Source organism: Homo sapiens, chromosome 12 (assembly GCF_000001405.40).
Source record: "Homo sapiens chromosome 12, GRCh38.p14 Primary Assembly".
NCBI classification, from domain to species: Eukaryota; Metazoa; Chordata; class Mammalia; order Primates; family Hominidae; genus Homo; species Homo sapiens.
The window spans coordinates 125018254-125040403 of record NC_000012.12 but is presented as its reverse complement, the minus strand read 5'-3'; the positions used below and the strand labels follow the sequence as shown (position 1 = coordinate 125040403).

Below are 22150 nucleotides of genomic sequence, written 5' to 3'. Positions count from 1 at the left end.
CATTGCACTCCAGCCTGGGCAAAAAGAGCAAAACTCTGTGTCAAAACAAAAAAACAAACAAAAAGAACCTATACTTTGAAAAAACAAAAACAAAAAAAAATAGTGTTAATGAGAACGGCATGGTCCTACTTTTTTTTTTTTTTGAGATGGAGTCTTGCTCTGTCACCAGGCTGGAGTGCAATGGTGTGATCTCAGCTCACTGCAACCTCCACCTCCTGGGTTTAAGCAGTTCTCCTGCCTCAGCCTCCCGAGTAGCTGGAACTACAGGCGTGCGCCACCACACCCAGCTAATTTTTGTATTTTCAGTAGAGATGGGGTTTCACCATGTTGGCCAGGATGGTCTCAATCTCTTGACCTTGTGATCCGCCTGCCTTGGCGTCCCAAAGTGCTGGGATTATAGGCATGAGCCACCGTACCCAGCCATTGTCCTACATTTTTGCAAATCTCTGATATGTAGCTAAAGAGAAGACAGCTGGACCCTCATCTCCGCTTTTGCAGCTTTTCCATTCATTCTGTTTGGAGAGCACACATCTCGTGGCCTCTAGAAAATTCCATTGTACATTCATGAGAGAATGAAAGTGAAAAATATAAATAACCTGTTATTAATAGTATTTTATGTAACTGGAGGAACCCAGACCACACTTTGAGAACTACACACCTTTGCAAATGAATGAGTGAAAAGATGAATGAATGAACGAACCCTTTTAAGCCTCCACGTCTCCATGATTTTTCTATACTTAAAAAAAAAACCCTATTGGAATAACATTCCAATGATTTTCCACAACTCACACAGGGTGTGCAATATGAAGAAAGGATCTAAAAACAGGGGAGCAATTTTTCAGTCTTTCAAAATCGAAGTTGATGAGAGTAGAATTAGTCCACTTGTTTTATCTCCTCCCAAGGCGAGTAGCAAGAATAGTTTAACCCTGCCTGGTACGAGCTCCTAAAGCCTAGTCAAACATAGCCTCTTTGCATAGGGCAACTCAGACCCCTGCAGGCCAAAAAGTGTCCAGAAAAGATGAATCCTAGCAAAGGATCCCCTGAGATTGGTTTAACTGACTGAGAATGATGAAAGGCATGCATTTGAAAAAAAACTATTAAAAGATAACTCTGTAAATTTTCACAATACAGAGGGAACCCGTGGGCCTTGCACTCTCTGTGCAGTGCAGCAGAAAACAGAATTTGGAATCACAGCTGCTGGGTTTCAGTCCTGACTTCCATGATTCCTTATTAGCTGTTCCATTTTGTGCAGGTCACTTGACCTCTCTGAGCTTTATACAACAGAAATTTGGTTTTGGGGTTTTTTTATTTTTTGAGATGGAACTGTGCTCTGTCGCCCAGGCTGGAGTGCAGTGGCACAATCTCAGCTCACTGCAACCTCCCCCTCCCAGGTTCAAGCGATTCTTCTGCCTCAGCCTCCCAAGTAGCTGGGATTACAGGCGCCGGCCACCATGCCCGGCTAATTTTTCTATTTTTAGTAGAGACGGGGTTTCACCATGTTGGCCAGGCTGGTCTTGAACCCCTGATCTCAGGTGATTTGCCTGGCTTGGCCTCCCAAAGTGCTGGGATTACAGGCGTGAGCCAAGGCCTGACCTTGGATTTTATTCTATTCTATTTATTTTTATTTTTAATTTTTTTGAGATGAAGTTTCGCTCTTGTCACCCAGGCTGGAGTGCAATGGCACGATCTCGGCTCACCGCAACCTCCGCCTCCCAGGTTCAAACAATTCTCCTGCCTCAGCTTCCTGAGTAGCTGGAATTACAGGCACGCACCACCACGCCTGGATAATTTTGTATTTTTAGTAGAGACGGGGTTTCTCCATGTTGCTCAAGCTGGTCTTGAACTCCTGACCTCAGGTGATCCACCTGCCTTGGCCTCCCAAAGTGCTGGGATTACAGGCATGAGCCACCACGCCCGGCAGATTTTATTTTTAATTCAAAATTAAGTACTTTGAAAGCCACAAGCATCTTAGTTTTAAGTTTGAGAACTCATTTCTTTTAGAATAGGTTTAATATAGTGTCAAACATCGGATGCTTTATTCTGAGCTTAGAATTACTGCCATTTGAAGATAACCAAGAAAAGGCATCCCACATCCCCTTCCCTTGTTTTTTGATGGAACAGAACGGTGAACTTTTTTTTTTTTTTTTTGAGATGGCTGGAGCACAGGGGCACAACCTTGGCTCACTGCAAACTCTGCCCCCAAGGCACAAGTGATCCTCCCACCTCAGCCTCCCAAGGAGCTAGGAACACAGACGCACACCACCATGCCTGGCTAATTTTTTGTATTTTTGGTATGTTGCCCAGACTGGTCTTGAACTCCTGAGCTCAAGTGATCCACTCACCTTGGCCTCCCAAAGTGCTGGGATTACATGCATGAGCCACCGTGCCTGGCTAGAATTGTGAACTTCTACTGCTTAAGATCAGGGAGAATTGATGCCACACTTCTGATTAGAAGCCTAGAAACCAGCACTTTTAGAAATTCCAAATGCACATACACACGTGTACTTACACTTTCTCACATAAATGCATGCTCAACACACGTGTATACATGCACCAGTTTCTTTTTCTTTTCTTTTCTTTTTTTTTTTTTTTGAGACAGAGTCTTGCTCTGTTGCCCAGGCTGGAGTGCAGTGGCTTGATCTCAGCTCACTGCAATCTCTGCCTCCTGGGTTCAAGCGATTCTTCTGCCTCAGCCTCCCAAGTAGTTGGGATTACAGGCGCACAGTAACACACCCAGCTAATTTTTTTGTATTTTTAGTAGAGACGGGGTTTCACCATATTGGCCAGGCTGGTCTCAAACTCCTGGCCTCGTGATCTGCCCGCCTTGGCCTCCCAAAGTGCCGGGATTACAGGCGTGAGCCACCGTGCCTGGCCACACGCACCAGTTTCTTTCCACTAATTAGATAATTTCCTGACAGATGGGACTTCCTCCAGGGCACTAAGGGAATATTTCATCTACTATAGCTATGCCTAAATTAGTGTGTCCACAGGTTGCCAATCTGCTATCTGGGGGTGATTTAGGGACTAGATCAAATAAAGCCTTTTTGGCAGGGCGTGGCGGCTCACGCCTGTAATCCCAGCACTGTGGGAGGCCAAGGCAGGTGGATCACCTGAGGTCAGGAGTTCAAGACCAGCCCAACCAACATGGTGAAACCCTGTCTCTACTAAATACCAACAATTAGCTAGACGTGTGGCACGTGCCTGTAATCCCAGCTACTCAGGAGGCTGAGGCCGGAGAATCATTTGAACCCAGGAGGCAGGGGTTGCAGTGAGCAAAGATTGTGCCATTGCACTCCAGCCTGGGCAATAACAGCAAAACTTTGTCTCCAAAAACAAAACAAAGCCTTTTGTCATTTTAATTTTTTCATATGAAGACAACCATCTGTCTTAGTAAGGTCAGGATGCTGTAATACAATAGTATAGACTAAATATTTATTTCACACAGTTCTGGAGGCTGGGAAGTTCAAGAGCAAGGTACTAGCATACTCAGTATTTGGTGATAGCCTTCTCCCTGGTTAAAAAACAGCCACCTTCTTGTTGTGTCTTCACATGGTGGAGTCGAGGGGTATCTGGTCTTTTCCTCTTCTTATGAGGCCACTAGTCCCATTATGGGGGTCCACCTTCAGGATCTCATCTAGACTAATCACCTCCCAAAGACCCTGTCTCCAAATACCATCACATTGGGAATTAGGGATTTAACATATACATTTTGAGGGGCTGCACACATTCATTCTGTAGCACCGTGACCAGCTCACAAAACTTCATTATTCTACAAGGGACTTGCATGATGTTGAGTACTAAATCTCCCAATAGTGCCCTGTGTTAACATTGTGCTAGCTGTTGTTTCATGGTTAGCAATGGTTAAGATATATTTAGATCATATTTGGAGCTAAACCTAGCATTATCTACATTGAAGCCACCAATATAATCAATGATGAGCAGTTACTAAATAAAAAATATAGATCACCTGGCCAACATAGTGAAACCCTGTCTCTACTAAAAAAAAATAATAATAATAAATAAATAAAATAAAAAAAATTAGGCCGGGTGCGGTGGCTCATGCCTGTAATCCCAGCATTTTGGGAGGCCAAGGCGGGGGATCAGAAGGTCAGGAGTTTGAGACCAGTCTGACCAACATGGTGAAACCCCCGTCTCTACTAAAAATACAAAAATTAGCCAGGTGTAGTGGTGTGTGTCTGTAATCCCAGCTACCCAGGAGGCTGAGGCAGGAGAATCGCTTGAACCTGGGAGGCGGAGGTTGCAGTGAGCAGAGATCGCGCCATTGCACTGCAGCCTTGGTGACGAGCAAAACTCCATCTCAAAAAAAAACAAAAAACAAAAACAAAACAAAAAAAACTATAGATTACTCATTTTGTTAATTTTTTGTTAATCATCATCAAAGATTTGACCATGGACTATTGACTTGGTTTGCTTTTCTTTGGGGCTTCAGAACAGGTGCTTTGGATATATGCATGTTATCATTTTTCAGTGGATATTTTGCTACTGTGAAGATCAAGTGTTGGCTAATGTATGTAATTCATAAAATTTCCACAAGCTGTTTATTGAAATTCTGTTTACACTTGTCAGAAATAAGCATTTCCTTGTTTAATGAAAGATGGCTAGCTTCAGTTAAGACCACACCTGACAGGCCGGGCATACTGGCTCACATCTGTAATCCCAAAATGAAAAATGGAAAAAAAGTAAAAAAGAAAAAAAGAGGCCAGGCATGGCGGCTCACACCTGTAATCCCTGGGAGGCCAAAATGGGAGGATCACTTGAGTCCAGGAGTTGAAGACCAGCCTAGGCAACATAGTGAGACCCCATCTCTACAAAAAAAAAAGCATTAGCCTGGTGTGATAGCACACACCTGTAGTCCCACTTAGGTGGGATACTGAAGCATGAGAACTGCCTGAGCCTGGGAGGTCAAGGCTAAAGTGAGCTGTGATTGCACCACTGCACTCCAGCCTGGGCAAGAAAGCAAGATCCTGCCTCAAAAAAAAAAAAAAAAAGACAATACCTATTAGTAAGTGAATGTTTTGGGTGAAAACAGCTGATCATACCAACTGTCGGTGAGGCTATGGAGGAACTGGAATTCTCACACACAGTGGGTAGGAATGTAAAATGCTACAACCACTTTGGAAAACAATGTCTTAAAAAGTTAAACCTATACCCTCAATATAATCCAGCCATTCTGGTCCTAAGTATTTACCTGGGAGAAGTGAAAAGTATGTTCATACAAAGTCCTATACATAAGTGTTCATAGTCGCTTTATTTGTAATAGCCCCAAATAGGAAACAACCAAAAAGTCCATCAACAAGTGAATGGATAAGCAAATTGTGGTACATCCATACTATGGAATACTACGCAGCAATGAAAAAGAGTGAACTATTGATAAGGGCAACAACTGGGATGGATTTCAAAATAATTATATTAAGTGAAAGAAGCTGGGGGGTGGGCATGGGGAGACACATGCTGTTTCATCCCATTTACATAAAATGCTAGAAAATGCAAACTAGGGCCGGGCGCGGTGGTTCACGCCTGTAATCCCAACACTTTGGGAGGCCAAGGTGGGCAGAATACAAGGTCAGGAGTTCGAGACTAGTCTGGCCAATATGGTGAAACCCCGTCTCTACTAAAAATACAAAAATTAGCTGGGCGTGGTGGCAGGCGCCTGTAGTCCCAGCTACTTGGGAGGCTGAGGCAGGAGAATTGCTTGAAACTGGGAGGCAGAGGTTGCACTGAGCCAAGATTGCGCCACTGCACTCCAGCCTGGGCGACAGAGTGAGACTCCATCCCCAGCCCAAAAAAAAAAAATACAAACTAATGTCTAGTGACAGAGAGCAGCTCAAAGGTTGCCTGGGGATGGAGAGCAGTGAGAGGGACCCCAAAGGGCCCTGAGGTGATGGACATGTTTGCTATTTTGATTGTGGCAAGTTTGATGTCCATGGTGTACGCATATATGAAACGTTATCCAAGTTACATTCAAACATGTGCAGCTTATTGTATGTCAATTTTACATTGATAAAGCTGTTTTTGTTTTTCTTTTTTTAAAAAAAGGGGCTGGGTGCAGTGGCTCACGTCTGTAATCCCAACACTTTGGGAGGCCGAGGCGGGCAGATCACCTGAGGTCGGTAGTTCGAGAACAGCCTGACCAACATGGAGAAACCCCGTCTCTACTAAAAATACAAAATTAGCTGGGTGTGGTGGCACATGCCTGAAATCCCAGCTACTTGGGAGGCTGAGGCGGTAGAATTGCTTGAACCCAGGAAGCGGAGGTTGCGGTGAGCTGAGATTGTGCCATTGCACTCCAGCCTGGGCAACAAGAGTGAAACTCCGCCTCAAACCAAAACAAAACAAAAACAGCCTGGGTGGTGGCTCACGCCTGTAATCCCAACACTTTGGGAGGCCGAGGCAGGCAGATCATTTGAGGTCAGGGGTTCAAGACCAGCCTGGCCAACATTGTGAAACCCCATCTCTACTAAAAAATACAAAAATTAGCTGGGTGTGGTGGTGTGCGCCTGTAATCTCAACTACTAGGGAGGCTGAGGTGGGAGGATTGCTTGAACCGTGGAGATGGAGGTTGCAGTGAGGCGAGATCTCACCACTGCACACTAGCCTGGGTGACAGAATGAGACTCTGTTTCAAAAAAAAAAACAAAAAAAAACCAGAAAAACAAAACAGTACAGGGGGCCTTGGTTAGAAATAGGAGTGTAAACCAAAAAGTGACTGGGGCAGGTCTCAATGGATTAGTGGCTTATTTTGTCAAGGTTGACGCCGGGCCCAAGGAAAAGAAACATAAGTCACAGTAGGATCTGTGGCCTGTGCTGTTTCCAAAATGGGTTCTGAGGACTTAAATATTTAAAGGGGAATGCGCAAGCAGGAGGGGAAGGATGGAAGAAAAATGTGGGGAATGGTAGGCAGTGAGGCAGGGCTGAGTCTCACTCGGCTTTGACGAGCACTCATGAATCTACATTTTATGTATATTTATGTATTCATTTTTATCTATTTTTCTGAGACAGAGTCTCACTCCGTCGCCCAGGTTGGAGTGCAGGGGCGCCATCTCGGCCCACTGCAACCTCTGCTTCCTGAGCTCAAGTGATCCTTCTGCCTCAGCCTCCCAAAGTGCTGAGATTACAGGCTTGAGACACTACACCCAGCCCAAATCTACATTTTACACAAGATAAAGTAGGCAGCTATCTGTTTGGGAAGCAAAGGAAGGAAGTTTGTGTTTGTTTTTTTTGTTTGTTTGTTTTGTGGCTCAGTTCCCAAGCTTAACTTTGCCCTTGGCATAATGAGTTTGAGATCCCGAGATTCTATTTTTCCTTCATAGGTGCAAAGGGGCTGGTAGCAATGCCGCCAGCTGCTCTGGGGCTGCAGCGGGATTGGCAGCGGGCAGAAGGGGCAGTGGGAGATGGTGAGGCTGTAGCTGGTCAGGCTGGGGCAGGGTTCCCGGCACCCTCTAGGTCCGAGGAACACTGCCCTCGGTGACTTCTCCTGTGAAGTCTCATTCCTCTTGTACTTGACATTCCTCTTAATCCCCATCCGATAACCCACTCCCTCCTCCTCCTCGGCCTATGGTGTTTAATTCGAATGTTGCTTTCAATGCATTCTTACAAAATGATTATATTTTGAGATAGGATCTCACTCTGTTCCCCAGGCTGGAATGCAGTGGTGCAATCATGGCTCACTGCAGCCTCAACCACCTGGGCTCAAGCGATCCTCCCACGTCAGCCTCCCGAGTAGCTGGGACTGCAGGCACAGGCAGGCGCCACTGCACCCAACTAATTTATTTACTTTTCGTAGAGGCAAGTTCTCACTATGTTGCCCAGGCTGGTCTTGAACTCCTGGACTCGAGCGATTCACCTGCCTTGGCCTCCCAGTGCTGGGATGACAGGCGTGAGCCACTGCACCCGGCCACAAAATAGTAATTTTTTTTGTTTGTTTTTCAGACGGAGTTTCACTCTGTCGCCCAGGCTGGAGTGCAGTGGCGCGATTTCAGCTCACTGCAACTTCCACCTCCTGGGTTCAAGCAATTCTCCTGCCTTAGCCTCCCGAGTAGCTGAGACTACAAGCACTTGCCACCACGCCCGGCTAATTGCATTCTTAGTAGAGACGGGGTTTCACCATGTTAGCCAGGATGGTCTAGATCTCTTGACCTCGTGATCCGCCCGCCTCGGCCTCCCAAAGTGCTGGGATTACAGGCATGAGCCACCTCACCCGGCCAAAATGATTATTTTAATAGCAGGTATTGACTTTATTCAAATGAGCTGCCCCTCCTCATTCTGGTTTCCTTCTCACCCCACGCTGTTACTGTCATTACTACCTACTGCACGTCCTCCAGTGCCTCACCGCCCCCGCTCACCTGCCTGCTTTCCCAGTGACAGGCCACCCAGGCTGCCCCCAGATAACTTCACAATAACTAGCCTCAAATTGTCCCCTTATCGACCTATGTGAGATTGTCTTTGCGTAAAAAGCAGGAGCAGTACTCTTGGGTTAAGAGTAATTATACTTGGTCAAGGTAAATTATACTCCTGTTACATTTGCTCCTAAATGTTTACTAAGAATAGGATTTTTAAGGCTGGGCATGATGGCTCACGCCTGTTATCCCAGCACTTTGGGAGGCCGAAACGGGCGGATCACTGAGGTCAGGAGTTGGAGACCAGCCTGGCCAACATGGTGAAACCCCATCTCTACTAAAAATACAAAAATTGGCCGGACATGCTCGCTTGAGCCCAGGAGATGGAGGCAGCAGTGAGCTGAGATCTCGCCACTGCACTCCAGCCTGGGTGAGAGTCCATCTCAAAAAAAAAAAAAAAAAAAAAAAAAAAATAGAAAGAAAAGGATTGTTAGGACCTGAGAAAGCAGCATGGGTATGCGGGGTGGGGTGGAGAGGCACGCATCACTGTGCTAGGACTGTCAGATTTGGCAACTAAAAATACAGGAAACTTGCTTACATTTGAATTTCAGATAAGCAACCAACACTTCTACACTATACTAAAACACTACTGGTTGTTTATCTGAAATTCAAATTTAACTGGGCATCCTGTATTTTATCTTGCAACCTTACCTCCAACTGAATACATAAATTCAAGGTTTTATGACTCTTCTCAGATCGAGGAATAGAACCATAGAATCCTGGTTACACATCAAAACTGGGGAAACTCCACAAATGTTTGGTTAGAAGTGATGAGATATATTTTAAAAGTCCATACAACAAAATTACAATAAACATTTATTAAGCTGTAATTTTCACAATATTTTAATTCTGTTCTGAGATCTACAAATATCTCTACATAACACCAAAGCCAGTGATTTAATAAATAAGAGGAATGTATATATCGCTTTGCAAAAAAATGCCTGATACATTTATCTCTATATAAGATATTTGTAGAATCAGTTTCCCAAGGCTCACGAAACTAAAGTGCACACACACACACACACCATGTACACACACACACTATTCAAATCAAATGGATTTATATTAAGTGCCAAATTAAATGCTATACAAAATTTATAACCAGATACACAAAATATGAAGTCAATCATGAATCCACTGTTGATAATGGATACCATACCTCACAAGTGTGATTTCCAGTTAAGAAGAGGGAGACAATTGCTTCATTGGGTTTTTAGTGTGTGCTAATCACCATCACCATCACAAGTTAATCAGTTTAATTACATGGTATTCAGAGATTAAACACACATGCAGATATTAAATGGACACTACAATAAAACCTTTAAATCTGCAAAAAGACATGAGAACACATGGTCAATAATACCACTCGCTGCCACAGCTTTTCAGTAGACAATGCAAATGGCAATCAGCGTTTTAAGCCACCACAAGAGAAAAACTGGTACTGGTGCACCTCCTACATATCAAGGAAAAGCAAAACACAGAATAATTTAATATGCTGAATAAAATTTGTTTACACCAGATACTATACATCACACTGATGGTTGTCCAGTATGAATTTTAAGGGTATTATGTTAGATTCTGCAAAATATATTCCTATTATTCACAAGTGAGGAGTCAAAGTCCAACTATTCAAATGGCCATAAACAAAAATGTTGCAGAAGGTATAGACCATTAAAAATAAAAAAGTCAGGAGTGGGGCAGCTGACCCCTTAGGAGCCTCAGGAATTCCTTTTAATGCAAGATAGATGGCAAGAGCTGGCTTTTTGGTTAAGTCAGCCAGTTCGGAAACCCATCAGGGAGAAGTTATCAGGTGTCAACTTGTAAGGCAGATGACATTCATCAAAAGCATCTTAAGAAGTAGCAGTGATCACAGAAAGGAAGCAATTCAGGATTTCCACTAGCAACAAATTGCATTAACCATGTCTAGGCCATTTGACAGCTGTTATTCTTAACGCTCCATAAGCCTGAATCACAGGGCCAGATGAGCGACTAAGCTGCTCACATCCTCTCTACAAGGCAGCCCTCCCGGGCATGCACAAAGTCATATTATAGTCTTCCTAATCACTGACCCAAACCTTTGCGTTCTTACTCAGCTCCCCAGAGGGGACCACCCCACTTGGTTACCACCATCACAGTCATAAAGACATAGTCCCAGTTCCCTGACATCGCTGCCTCCCGACTCCTGCATGAGACAGGCTCTCATTTCTGGGGTAAGTGTATGAAACACCTTTCAACGGCATTCACTTACCCTTTGTGAATTAAGACACAGGCACGATTCACAAGGTCTGCTTCCCAGAAATTCTATTGCTGTGCTCTGTTACCAGAAATGATATGGGGGCTGAAATCCAAAGCAAAAGAAACCAAAGGGCGGGTAATGCCGACTGGTATTGGAAAGTGTGTGTGTGTGTATATATATATACATATATATACACACACACACACTTTTTTTTTTTTTTGAGACTGGGTCTCACTCTGTCGCCTCAACTGGAGTACAGTGGTGTGATCTCAGTTCACTGCAACCTCTGCCTCCCAGGTTCATACAATTCTCCCACCTCAGCCTCCTGAGTAGCTGGGACTACAGGAACCCACCACCACACCTGGCTATTTTTTTTTTTTTTTTTTTTTTTGTATTTTTTGGTAGAGACGGGATTTCACTATGTTGGCCAGGCTGGTCTCGAACTCCCGACCGCAAGTGATCCACCCGCCTTGGCCTCCCAAAGTGCTGGGATTACAAGCTTGAGCCACTGCACCCAGCCTGGAAAGTATATTTATGAAAGGTTTGCACTCCACAAAAGCATCTTTGCTAGGGTGTCAAGGAAGAGATCACTAAACCAACCCCAACACATCCATACAATTCCAGCAATCTAGAGAGGGCTGGTCCTTTTCCTTTTCTGGATTATTTTCTGTTCTCAGTAAAACAAGTATTTACTGTGATACTGAAACACTGGGAAATTAACACTGATTAAGATATTTTAAACACTGAGTCTTAATTATAACAGAACCAGTTTTCATCAGAATGCTTTTACGTCACATTCAGTGAAGTGTTACGCTAATATATTCTACAGCCCTGAAGATAGAAAAAAGGTTTCTCTCCAGGTATGAGATATGGTACAAAAATACATTTTTCCACATACAAAAGAGAGAAAAAAACAAAGACATGTGGCGGGTGGCGAGGGGAGGCCCAATCCCAACACCCTACAAGGTTCCATGGAATGGAGAAGGAACAAAAAAATCCCCAATTATTTTGGGGTAAGATGTGCCCCAGAAAAGGTGAAATCTATGCAATAAAACCCAGGTTTTCTTCAAATCTAGCATCTAGGATTTCTATCAGAGTTTCAAATAATCAGAATTTCTATCAGAATTTCTACCCTGAGGTGACACCTACTAACTGTAGGTTCTTTCATTAAAAATGAAGACATCTTTCACCAGAATGTATCAAGCTATAAAACTGGCTTCAGAGCCTACACTTAGCCAGAGTGGAAAAAAAAAATAGTGCATATTTTCGACAGCAATTTTGAATTGATGCTTGAGGTCTCAATCCACCAGCACCCAGATATCATGTTACCTCCCTCAGTTGAATACAAGTTAAAATGATGATCTTATCGAGATCTCAATAGAGCACAGTGCCCTTCATGTTTCGGGTAAGAGGGTGGGAGGAGGAATGAAGCGGGTATTACACCCAGCCCAGTGACAGCTTAAGCCTTAACATGCGGGCATCTTACAATGACCATAAACAAGGGAGGGGCCAAGGCAGGGCTGGCGATCATTAGCTTTGCGCACAGAATGCCATGTTTTCCCCTGGCCAACATAAGCAAAGCTGTTTTAGTACCTAAACGTGGTATAGCCAAATGCACAAAAGGAAAGAAGATAGAGATGACCTCCCGAGTTATTTATACCTTGTGCTAAAATAGATTCATCTACAAGTATCTAAATGACAAAACTAGAATGATTTCAACCCAGTAATCCTGTGTTCCAATGTGCATGGATAAAGATTTGATCTAGGCCCAGCGCGGTGGCTCACGCCTGTAATCCCAGCACTTTGGGAGGCCGAGGCGGGCGGATCACGAGGTCAGGAGATCGAGACCATCCTGGCTAACACGGTGAAACCCCGTCTCTACTAAAAATATAAAAAATTAGCCGGGCATGATGGTGGGCGCCTGTAGTCCCGGCTACTTGGGAGGCTGAGGTAGGAGAATGGCGTGAACCCAGGAGGCGGAGCTTGCAGTGAGCCGAGATGGTGCCACTGCACTCCAGCCTGGTTGACAGTGAGACTCCATCTCAAAAAAAAAAAGATTCGATCCAGCAAATAATTTTTTTTGAGACGGAGTCTCACTCTGTTGCTGAGGCTAGAGTGTGGTGGTATGATCTCAGCTGACTGCAACCTCCGCCTCCCATGTTCAAGCGATTCTCCAGCCTCAGCCTCCCAAGTAGCTGGGATCACAGGCGCCCACCACCAGGCCTGGCTAATTTTTGTATTTTTAGTAGAGACGGGGTTTCACTCTGTTGGCCGGGCTGGTCTCAAACTCCTGACCTCAGGTGATCCACCTGCCTTGGCCTCCCAAAGTGTTGGGATTATAGGGGTGAGCCACCCTGCCCAGCCTGCTCCAGCAAATCTTAAATATCCATGCACACTGAATAAACATGCACCTGAAACAGGTGCACGTTTCAGGAAGTGAATGGAACTCTCCAGGAGAGTTTGGGTCCCATCATGTGTACCTTAGAAACAGAAGTCTCAAAAGTCTCAACAACATCCACAAAAACATCTGCATCTGTTTTCCAGATACTTGCAACCAAAAATAAAACTTCACAGGAACACTACACAAGAAGTGGTAGACAGCTAAATCTTCTCCAAACTGAGACCTGGACCATAAGGTCTTGGTTGTAGCAGGTCTGGCAGGGGTTATCTATAAACCTGCACGCAGGGCACTGTGAGCGGGTTGCCAGGGTACATCTGTGGCCAGGTAAGGGCCACAGAGACAGTCGTGATCCCCAGCAGCTTCAAAGCTGCAAAATGCTGGGCTTTTTTTTTTTTTTTTAAGATGAAGTCTTGCTCTGTTGCCTAGGCTGGAGTGCAGTGGCGTGATCTCGGCTCACCGCAACCTCCACCTCCCAGGTTCAAGCAATTCTCCTGCCTCAGCCTCCTGAGTAGCTGGACTACAGGCACCCACCACCATGCCTGACTAATTTTTGTATTTTTAGTAGAGACGGGGGTTTCACCATGTTGGCCAGGCTGGTCTTGAACTCCTGACCTCAGGTGATCCATACTCCTCGGCCTCCCAAAGCGCTGGGATTACAGGCATCAGCCACTGCGCCTGGCCTAGGGCTTTCTTTTTTAAAAAACAAGTCCTAACAAAAGGGGGTTTCTACCAGCCCCTGAGCCACACCTTCTGAAACTCCCTTGCCCAGGATCCCCACAGCTGTCCACCTCGCAAGTCCCACTCTCTGCCCACAGAGACTGCCTAAAAGGAGGACACAACAGATTTCAGATAAAAAGCACCTGTGTATCGTAAATATTTCAGGAAAAAGAATTCAGATCTTTTCAAAGGCTTGCTTATTGCTGCTAATTGTTCCTGAGGATCTTTCTAAGCAGCAATATACTTGAGAATATTAGCTGCTACTGTTTGTTTTCCCTCTAAGGTCCTGAGGAAATCAAAAGAAAAAAAAAAAAACCCTCAAGGGTATAGCTTTTGTATATAGCCCTAGTGAGCAAACTGCAAATTGGGACATGCAGTAGATTCTGGAGCAATCTCCAATCCTTACCAGGTACTTCCTGGCATCAAATCCCCAGGACATTTCTTGGCCCCTCCTTGCATTTTCCGTTTCAAAATGTTGAGGTTAAAATACATCGAAGCACAGAGGGAAGAAAATCTCAGGTCTTCTAGAAATGGCGATGTCTTCATTTAAAAATAGGACTGATGGGGGCTTGGCAGGGGTCTCTAGGATCCAAAAGAGGTTGAGTTGCATCCTGCAGCCCAACTGTCCACATTTAGAAGTGACAACATTCATGAACTAAGTCAACATCCACCAAAAATAACATGAAATAAAGCTCACAGTTTGGGAACATGAAAATAACGCACACAGACCTCACCCACCAATCCCTAAGCTGTGAAAACAAACGCTCGCATTTAAACTTTTCTCAAATGTCAAATTAGCATATTCTTCCCCTCCATGTAAAGTTTTAATAAACTTGACTCAATCTGCCTTTATTAAAAAACCTTACAAAAGATGTATTTAAATGCTTGAAAAAATTAACTTTATGCTCTATGCACAGATAAATTTCTCTTACTGTACAACTAAATATGGTTATATCCTTTGTTTAAAAAATATTTTTTCCCCCACTAATTACACTTCGTGTGTAGTTCCACGTCAATGATCTTTCCGCTCTTCTGGGAATGTGTCCTAAGAGCTGCCGGGTGGGTGGAAATAGCCCTACACAGCGCCACTTTCTTGCTCAGTCGTGTTTATTAAGATTGTTTGGGGTTTGGGGTTTTTTTCCTCCGTTTTCGTTTTCTGAGACAGCGTGCTGGTAACTGTGGACCCGCCCGGCCGGCTGACCTTCACTTGTCCTTGGAGCGGTCCAGGCTCTCGAGCACCCGGTTGAGACGGATGTTGAGCAGTCTGACCTGCTTCTCCAGGTGCTCCAGCTTCTCCTCCACGCTGGGGTTGCTGGGGTTGCTGGGGCCGCTGGGACTGCTTCGCCAGTAGAAGCCCATGGGCCCGGTCATGAAGTAGACGGCCACCACGAAGCACAGCGGCAGCACCGCGTTCTCCGGCTCGCCCTCGTACTTGTGCAGGATGTACACGCAGGACATGGAAAACAGGACGACCCGCACGATCCAGAAGAAGCGGCCGAACACCACGTGCAGGACGCTGAAAGTGAAGCCCAGGGTCAGGGACAAGAACCAGTAGGCCAGGAGGACGACGCCGACCAGCAGGAGCGCGCGGGCCGGGCTGCTGGACACCGAGGCTGGGCTGAAATACTGGGACAGGTTGGAGACTGCGGGACAGAAAAGAGGAACAGGGCTCGTTACGCAGGGGCCAGGGGTTTCTTAACAAGCTAGAATTGGATAGTTGAGCTGGCCTGTGGGGCTTAAAAGGCCTTTGCAACAACCAAAGGAACTCAAGGAAGTTCCTCTGTGAATAGTCACACTTTGCTCCATGAGGACACACAGGGAAGCCTCTTTTTTTTGAGATGGAGTCTTGCTCTGTTGCCCAGGCTGGAGTGCAATGGTGTGATCTCGGCTCACCACAACCTCCGCCTCCTGGGTTCAAGCAATTCTCCTGTCTCAGCCTCCGGGGTAGCTGGGATTACAGGCATGCGCCACCACACCCGGCTAATTTTGTATCTTTAGTAGAGACGGGGTTTCTCCATGTTAATCAGGCTGGTCTCGAACTCCTGACCTCAGGTGATCCACCTGCCTCGGCCTCCCAAAGTGCTGGGATTACAGGCATGAGCCACCATGCCCAGCCAGGGAAGCCCTTTAAGACGACCTGCCATGTTGAGTTTTAAAAACCTCTCCATATACTGGTTTCTCTTCAAATCATATACATCTTTCACCTTTAGCCTGGGCAACATAGTGAGACCCTGATATGGACTGGCTCTGTGCTCCCACACAAATCTCATCTTGAATTATAATCCTCACGTGTGGAGGAAGGAACCTCGTGGGGGGTGATTGGATCATGGGGGTGGTTTCCCCATGCTGTTCTTGTGACAGTGGAGGGGGGGGGGTTTCATGAGATCTGATGGTTTAAGTGTTTGGCAGCTGCCCCCTTTGCTCTCTCTTTCTCTCCTGCTGCCTTGTGAAGAAGGTGCTTGCTTCTCCTTTGCCTTCTGCCATGATTATAAGTTTCCTGAGCCACGCAGAACTGTGAGTCAATTAAACCTCTTTTATTTATGCATTACCTAGTCTCAGGTTTTTTGGTTTTTTTGTTTGTGTTTTTGAGGTTGGAGTGCAGTGGCACAATCTTGGCTCGTTGCAACCTCTGCATCCCAGGTTCAAGCAATTCTCCTGCCTCAGTCTCCCAAGTAGCTGGGATTATAGGCACATGCCACCACACCCAGCTGATTTTTGTATTTTTAGTAGAGATGAGGTTTCACCATGTTGGCCAGGCTGGTCTTGAACTAGTGTCCTCAAGTGATCCACCTCCTCAGCCTCCCAAAGTGCTGGGATTACAAGTGTGAGCCACTGCGCCTGGCCTCGGGTATGTTTTGATAGCAGTGTGAAAATAGACTAATACAGACCCAATCTCTAGAGAACACAAATTTTAAAAAAATTAGACAGGTGTGGTAGCACACACCTGTAGTCCCAGCTACTCAGGAGGCTGAGGTGGGAGGATCACTTGAGGCTGGGAGGTAGAGGCTGCAGTGAGCCATAATGTGCCACTGCACTCCAGCCTGTGTGACAGAGTAAGACTTTGTCTCAAAAGACAACTTTCACCTTTTACTAAAACACCTCTGGAAGTGGGGCATAGCCTGCAAATTGTCCTTCAATTTCCATAGTAACAAATGCCCACCTTCAGGCTGGGCACACAACTACCTAGGATTAAAGCATTTCCTAGCCTCTCTTGCAGCTACATAACTAAGCTTTGGCCATGTGTTCCCTAAAAGTAGCAGGAATGTGTCCTTTACCTCTTCTGCCTGCTGGAACATGGATACAATGGCTGGAACTGGAGCAGCCATTTTGGAAGGCACTCATGGAGGAACAATAAAATGGAAGGTGCTTTGGTCCAGAGCACCACATGCATCAGAGCCATCAAACCCGCCTCACCACCTCCCTGAGAACTTTCATATAAGAGGGAAATAGGTGTCCATCTTGGTTAAGCCAATGTTATGTTGGATTTCTGTTTCAGCCAAACCTGATCCTAACTGGTACCCACACACGAAGTTCCATCTCAAGAATGCAGTGAAATGTAAGAGTAGCATCTTCTGTGTGCCTGACTTGAAGAAATTCAAACAAAAAAGTTAAAAGAACAGTAGAATATTCCTTTTGAAACCAACTAGACTGAACAATTATTAAAAATTCTGAATGTTGCATTCTCTATTTACATACTTTTTAGATTAACCCATTTGAAAGATGTACACATCATACTTCATCATACATCTAAGAATAAAGACATCATTCACCTCAAAACCATGATACTATCATCATTCTAAGAATATTAACAATTCCAGGCTGGGCACGGTGGCTCATGCCAGCATTTGGGAGGCCAAGGTGGGTGGATCACCTGAGATCAGGAGTTTGAGACCAGCCTGGCCAACATGGTGAAACCCCATCTCTACTAAAAATATAAAAATTAGCTGGGCGTGGTGGCGCACACCTGTAATCCAAGCTACCTGGGAGGCTGAGGCACGAGAATCGCTTGAACCCAGGGAGGCAGAGGTTGCAGTGAGCCAATGGCGCCACTGCACTCCAACCTGAGACACAGTGAGGCTCTGTCTCAAAAAATAAATAAATAAATAAATAAATAATAAATTAACAATTCCATATAACATCACTTGAATTTCTCAGTTATCCAGGAATAGCTGTTTCCTCCCAACCCTCACCAGGACCCAGCGACAGTTCACGTTCAGCATTTGCCATCACTTTAGTCTCCATTAATTGAGAAGAGACCCATGACATTTTAGAAACACTGAAATTCTGAAGTCTAATTTTTCCAGGATGGTTTTCTTGCAGGAGGTCCCACATGCTGCAATTGTTTGTTTCCTGACAGTGTTGTTTAATGAGTTCAAGGAGAGTTATATCCTAAGCCTTCTCACACAAGCAGTTCTCAAACTTGTGTGATTCCTCCAGGAATCCCCTGGAGGGCTTAGGAAAACAGGTTGCTGGGCCCCACCCCCAGGACATCTGATTCAGTAGGTCCTGGGTGGGCCCAAGAATCTGTGGTCTTTTTTTTTTTTTTTTTTTTTTAAGACAGGGTCTTTTTCTGTCACCCAGGCTGGAGTGTGATGGTGTGATCTCGGCTCACTGCAGCCTTGACCTTTTGGGCTCAAGCGATCCTCCCACCTCAGACTCCCGAGTAGCTAGGACTATAGGCATGCACCACCACAGCTGGCTAATTTTTGTATTTTTTTGTAGAGACAGTGAAGTGGTTTGGTTCTGTGTTCTCACCCAAATCTAATTTCAAATTGTAATCCCCACGTGTCCAGGGAGGGACCTGGTAGGAGGTGATTGGATCGTGGAGGTGGTTTCCTCCATGCTATTCTCATGAAAGTGAGTGAGTCTCACGAGATCTGATGGTTTAAAAGTGTTTGGCAGTTTACCCCTCGCTCTTGCTTCCTCTCTCCTGCCACCACGTAAGACGTGCCTTGCTTCCCCTTTGCCTTCCGCCATGATTACAAGTTTCCTGAGGCCTCCCCAGCCATGTGGAACTGTGAGTCAATTAAATCTCTTTTATTTATAAATTACACAGCCTCAGGTAGTTCCTTATAGCAGTGTGGAAACCAGCAAATACAGATAGGATCTCGCTATGTTGCCCAGGCTGGTCTCGAACTCCTGAGCTCAAGCAACCTGCCTGCCTTGGCTTCCCTAAGTGCTGGGATTATAGGTGTGAGGCACCACGCCCAGCCAAAGAGGACCAAAGTGTGACACAACGATCTGGAGTGGGCAAGCGCAAATCCAGAGCAGGCCTGAGATGGGAAGCCTCAACCCTGGAGCTCCTCCGGTCAATAACGACACCTACGGCGTGAACATCTCATAGTTCCCCAAAATGATCAGACTCCGCACAGCTGGCCAGTGTCTAGAGTCCAACACTGTAAACAGCAGCCATCTCTGGGACTAAAGGCTTGGGGTCACCAGGACTCCCCAGAAGCCAGAGTGTGTTTGCTACACTGTGCCTTCCTGAGGCATCGTGAGCATTTTGACTAAATGTGGTTGACTTGGGAGCTGACTTTCACACCTGTCCCCTGCAGACTGGAGGCTAAACCAGTGTTTCCCAGACCTCTCAGTCTCAAGACCGTTTGCACTCTTCAGTATTATTGAAGCGTCCCCAGAGCTTTCGTTTATGTGGGTTCTACCTAACTGATATATTTTCCATAGCAGAAAATTAGGTAGTTTTTAATTAGTTGTTAATTATCTTTTAAATTTTATTATTTATTTATTTATTTATTTGAGACAGAGTCTTGCTCTGTAGCCCAGGCTAGACTTCAGTAGCATGATCTTAGCTCATTGCAACCTCTACCTCCTGGGCTCAAGCGATCCTCTCACCTCAGCCTCCCAAGTAGCTGAGACTACAAGCATGCACCACCAAGCTAATGTTTTGATTTTTTGTAGATACAGGGTCTCACTGTGTTGCCAAGGATGGTCTCAAACTCCTGGGCTTAAGCAATCCATCTGCCTCAACCTCCCAAAGTGCTGGGATTACCAGATGAGCCACTGTGTCCAGCCATTGTTAATAATTTAAAAACATTGCTATCATTAACTCATTTTCAAATAACAACCCATTACAGATGCTAGGCTTTGAGTATTTGTGTCCCCCACAAAATTCCTATGTTGAAATCCTAACCCCAAAAGTGATGGTCTTAGGAGGTGGGGTCCTGGGGAGGTGATCAGGTCGTAGGGGTGGAGCCCCCATGAATGGGTTTAGTGCCCTTATAAAGAGGTCCCAGAGAACCGCCTTGTTCCTTCATGTGAGACACAGTGAGGCATCGTCTACAAGAAAGGGCTCTCCCCACAGCCTGCATCTGCCAGTGCCTTCATTTTGGACTTCCTGCCTCCAAACTGTAAGAAATGAAAATGTCTGTTAGGCCGGGCACGGTGGCTCATGCCTGTAATCCCAGCTCTTTGGGAGGCCAAGGTGGGCAGATCATCTGAAGTCAGGAGTTCGAGACCAGCCTGACCAATATGGCGAAACCTTGTCTCTATTAAAAAAAATACAAAATTAGCCGGGCATAGTGGTGCATGCCTGTAATCCCAGCTACTCAGGAGGCTGAGGCAGGAGAATCACTGGAACCCGGGAGGCTGAGGTTGCGCCACTGCACTCCAGCCTGGGCAACAGAGAGAGACTCCATCTCAAAAAAAAAAAAAAAAAAAAAAAAGTCTGTTGTTGATAAGCCACACAGTCTATGGAATTTTGTTATAGCAGCCTGAACTGACCAAGACAATAGGTTAACACAAAATATTTTTCACAAAAAGCAACTGTTTCTAAAGCAGAACAAACCACTCTGAGAACAGTGGCAGTGCTTTGAATGTTTGCCAGTCTCTTTCCTATCTAGCTATTTAGAGGAGACCTGGCCCCCAAATCTGGTTTTGAATTCAGAGGAACAGAACACCAGCCACAAATGTGAGCCATGTTTGTCACTGAAAATTTTCAAGTACTCACAGCAAAAAAGGCAAAAAAAAAAAAAAAAAAAAAAGGGTGGAATTAATGTTAATAAGATATTTTGTTTAATCCAATCTATCTAAAATGTCATCATCTTAACGTGGCATCAATATATATGGAAGTATTAAAGTACGTACTGAATCCCTGACCTCAGAGACATGTTACGGGAGAAGAGAGGAACTCACAGTCACCCCTCCTAACCAAAAGGGTCTCAGGGACCTCCTGGGGTTCCTCTGAGCATACTTTGAGAAGCATCGTGTCATCAAGGGGCCAAGATAGTGATCAGCCAGGAAAGATGCCCAGAGACGAGAATGCCACCCCTGCCTTCCACCTCTCGGTGACTTCAGTGAAAGCTGTCCTTTAAACCAAGGAAGGGTGGTCCAAAGCAACGTCACTCCGAGGCCCTGAAAATCCTAAAGAAAACACGAGTGGCCCTGCACGTTCTGACAGCAAAGGGGCACCGTCTGACTTCCCTAGCGCTGCCATGGCCAAGTAGCTAAAAAGGAGTAGAAGGCCGGGCGCAGTGGCTCATGTCTGTAATCCCAACACTTTGGGAGGCCAACGCAGGTGGATCACCTGAGATCAGGAGTTCGAGACCAGCCTGGCCAACATGGTGAAATACCGTCTCTACTGAAATATAAAAATTAGCCAGGCGTGGTGGTGGGTGCCTGTAATTCCAGCTACTCAGGAGGCCGAGGCAGGAGAATCGCTTGAACCCGGGAGGCGGAGGTTGCAGTGAGCCAAGATTGCGGCATTGCTCTCCAACCTGGGCAACAGAGCAACATTCTGTCTCAAAAAAACAAAAACAAAAACAAAAACAGAATTAGCCAGATTTGGTGGCATGTGCCTGTAATCTCAGCCACTCGGGAGGCTGAGGTACTAGAATCGCTTGAACTCAGGAGGCGGAGGCTGCAGTGAGCCGAGATAGCGCCACTGCACTTCAGCCTGGGCAACAGGGCAAGACTCCATCTCAAGAAAAGAAAAAAAAAAAAAAAAAAGAACAGAAGTTTATTCTCTCAGTTTGTTTGGAGGCTGGAAGTCTGTGAACAGCGTGTCAGCAGGGCTGGCTCCAGAGGCTCGAGGGTGAATCTGCCCGGGCCTCTCCTAGTGTCTGCGGATTGCTGGTGATCCTTGGCACTCCGTGACTGCCAGACACACTCCTCTCTCTTACTCTGCCTTCACGTGGCCTTCTCCCTACGTGTGTCTGTGTCTAAATTTCCCCTTCGTATAAGGACACCGGTCACATTGGATTTGGGACTCACCCTACTCCAGTATGACCTCATCTTAACAAATGACACCCACAATGACCCCATCTCCAAATAGCATCCCATTCTGAGGCTCTGGGGGTTAGGACTTCAACAGATAAAACAGATGAATACGGGGACACACAATTCAACTCCTAACAGGCACTGTTCA

The 22150-nt window shown here is 45.6% G+C and overlaps 1 protein-coding gene and 1 long non-coding RNA gene across 3 annotated transcripts in view; one reads left to right on the top strand and one right to left on the bottom strand.

The window, feature by feature from the left end:
• BRI3BP (BRI3 binding protein) overlaps positions 1–22150 on the bottom strand; it is a 57523-nt gene that overhangs the window by 10764 nt on the left and 24609 nt on the right. Inside the window, exon 3 of one of the 2 annotated variants that reach the window (NM_080626.6) lies at positions 9173–15413. The exons of the other annotated variant lie outside the window; for it this stretch is intronic. Coding sequence (NP_542193.3) covers positions 14974–15413 — 440 coding nt within the window. The 3' untranslated portion in view covers positions 9173–14973. Of the gene's footprint in view, positions 1–9172; positions 15414–22150 lie in introns of those variants that run through there. 2 annotated transcript variants of the gene reach the window in all.
• On the top strand, positions 12981–14961 carry THRIL (TNF and HNRNPL related immunoregulatory long non-coding RNA). Its single transcript, NR_110375.1, has one exon. It is a non-coding gene; the product is annotated as a TNF and HNRNPL related immunoregulatory long non-coding RNA (long non-coding RNA).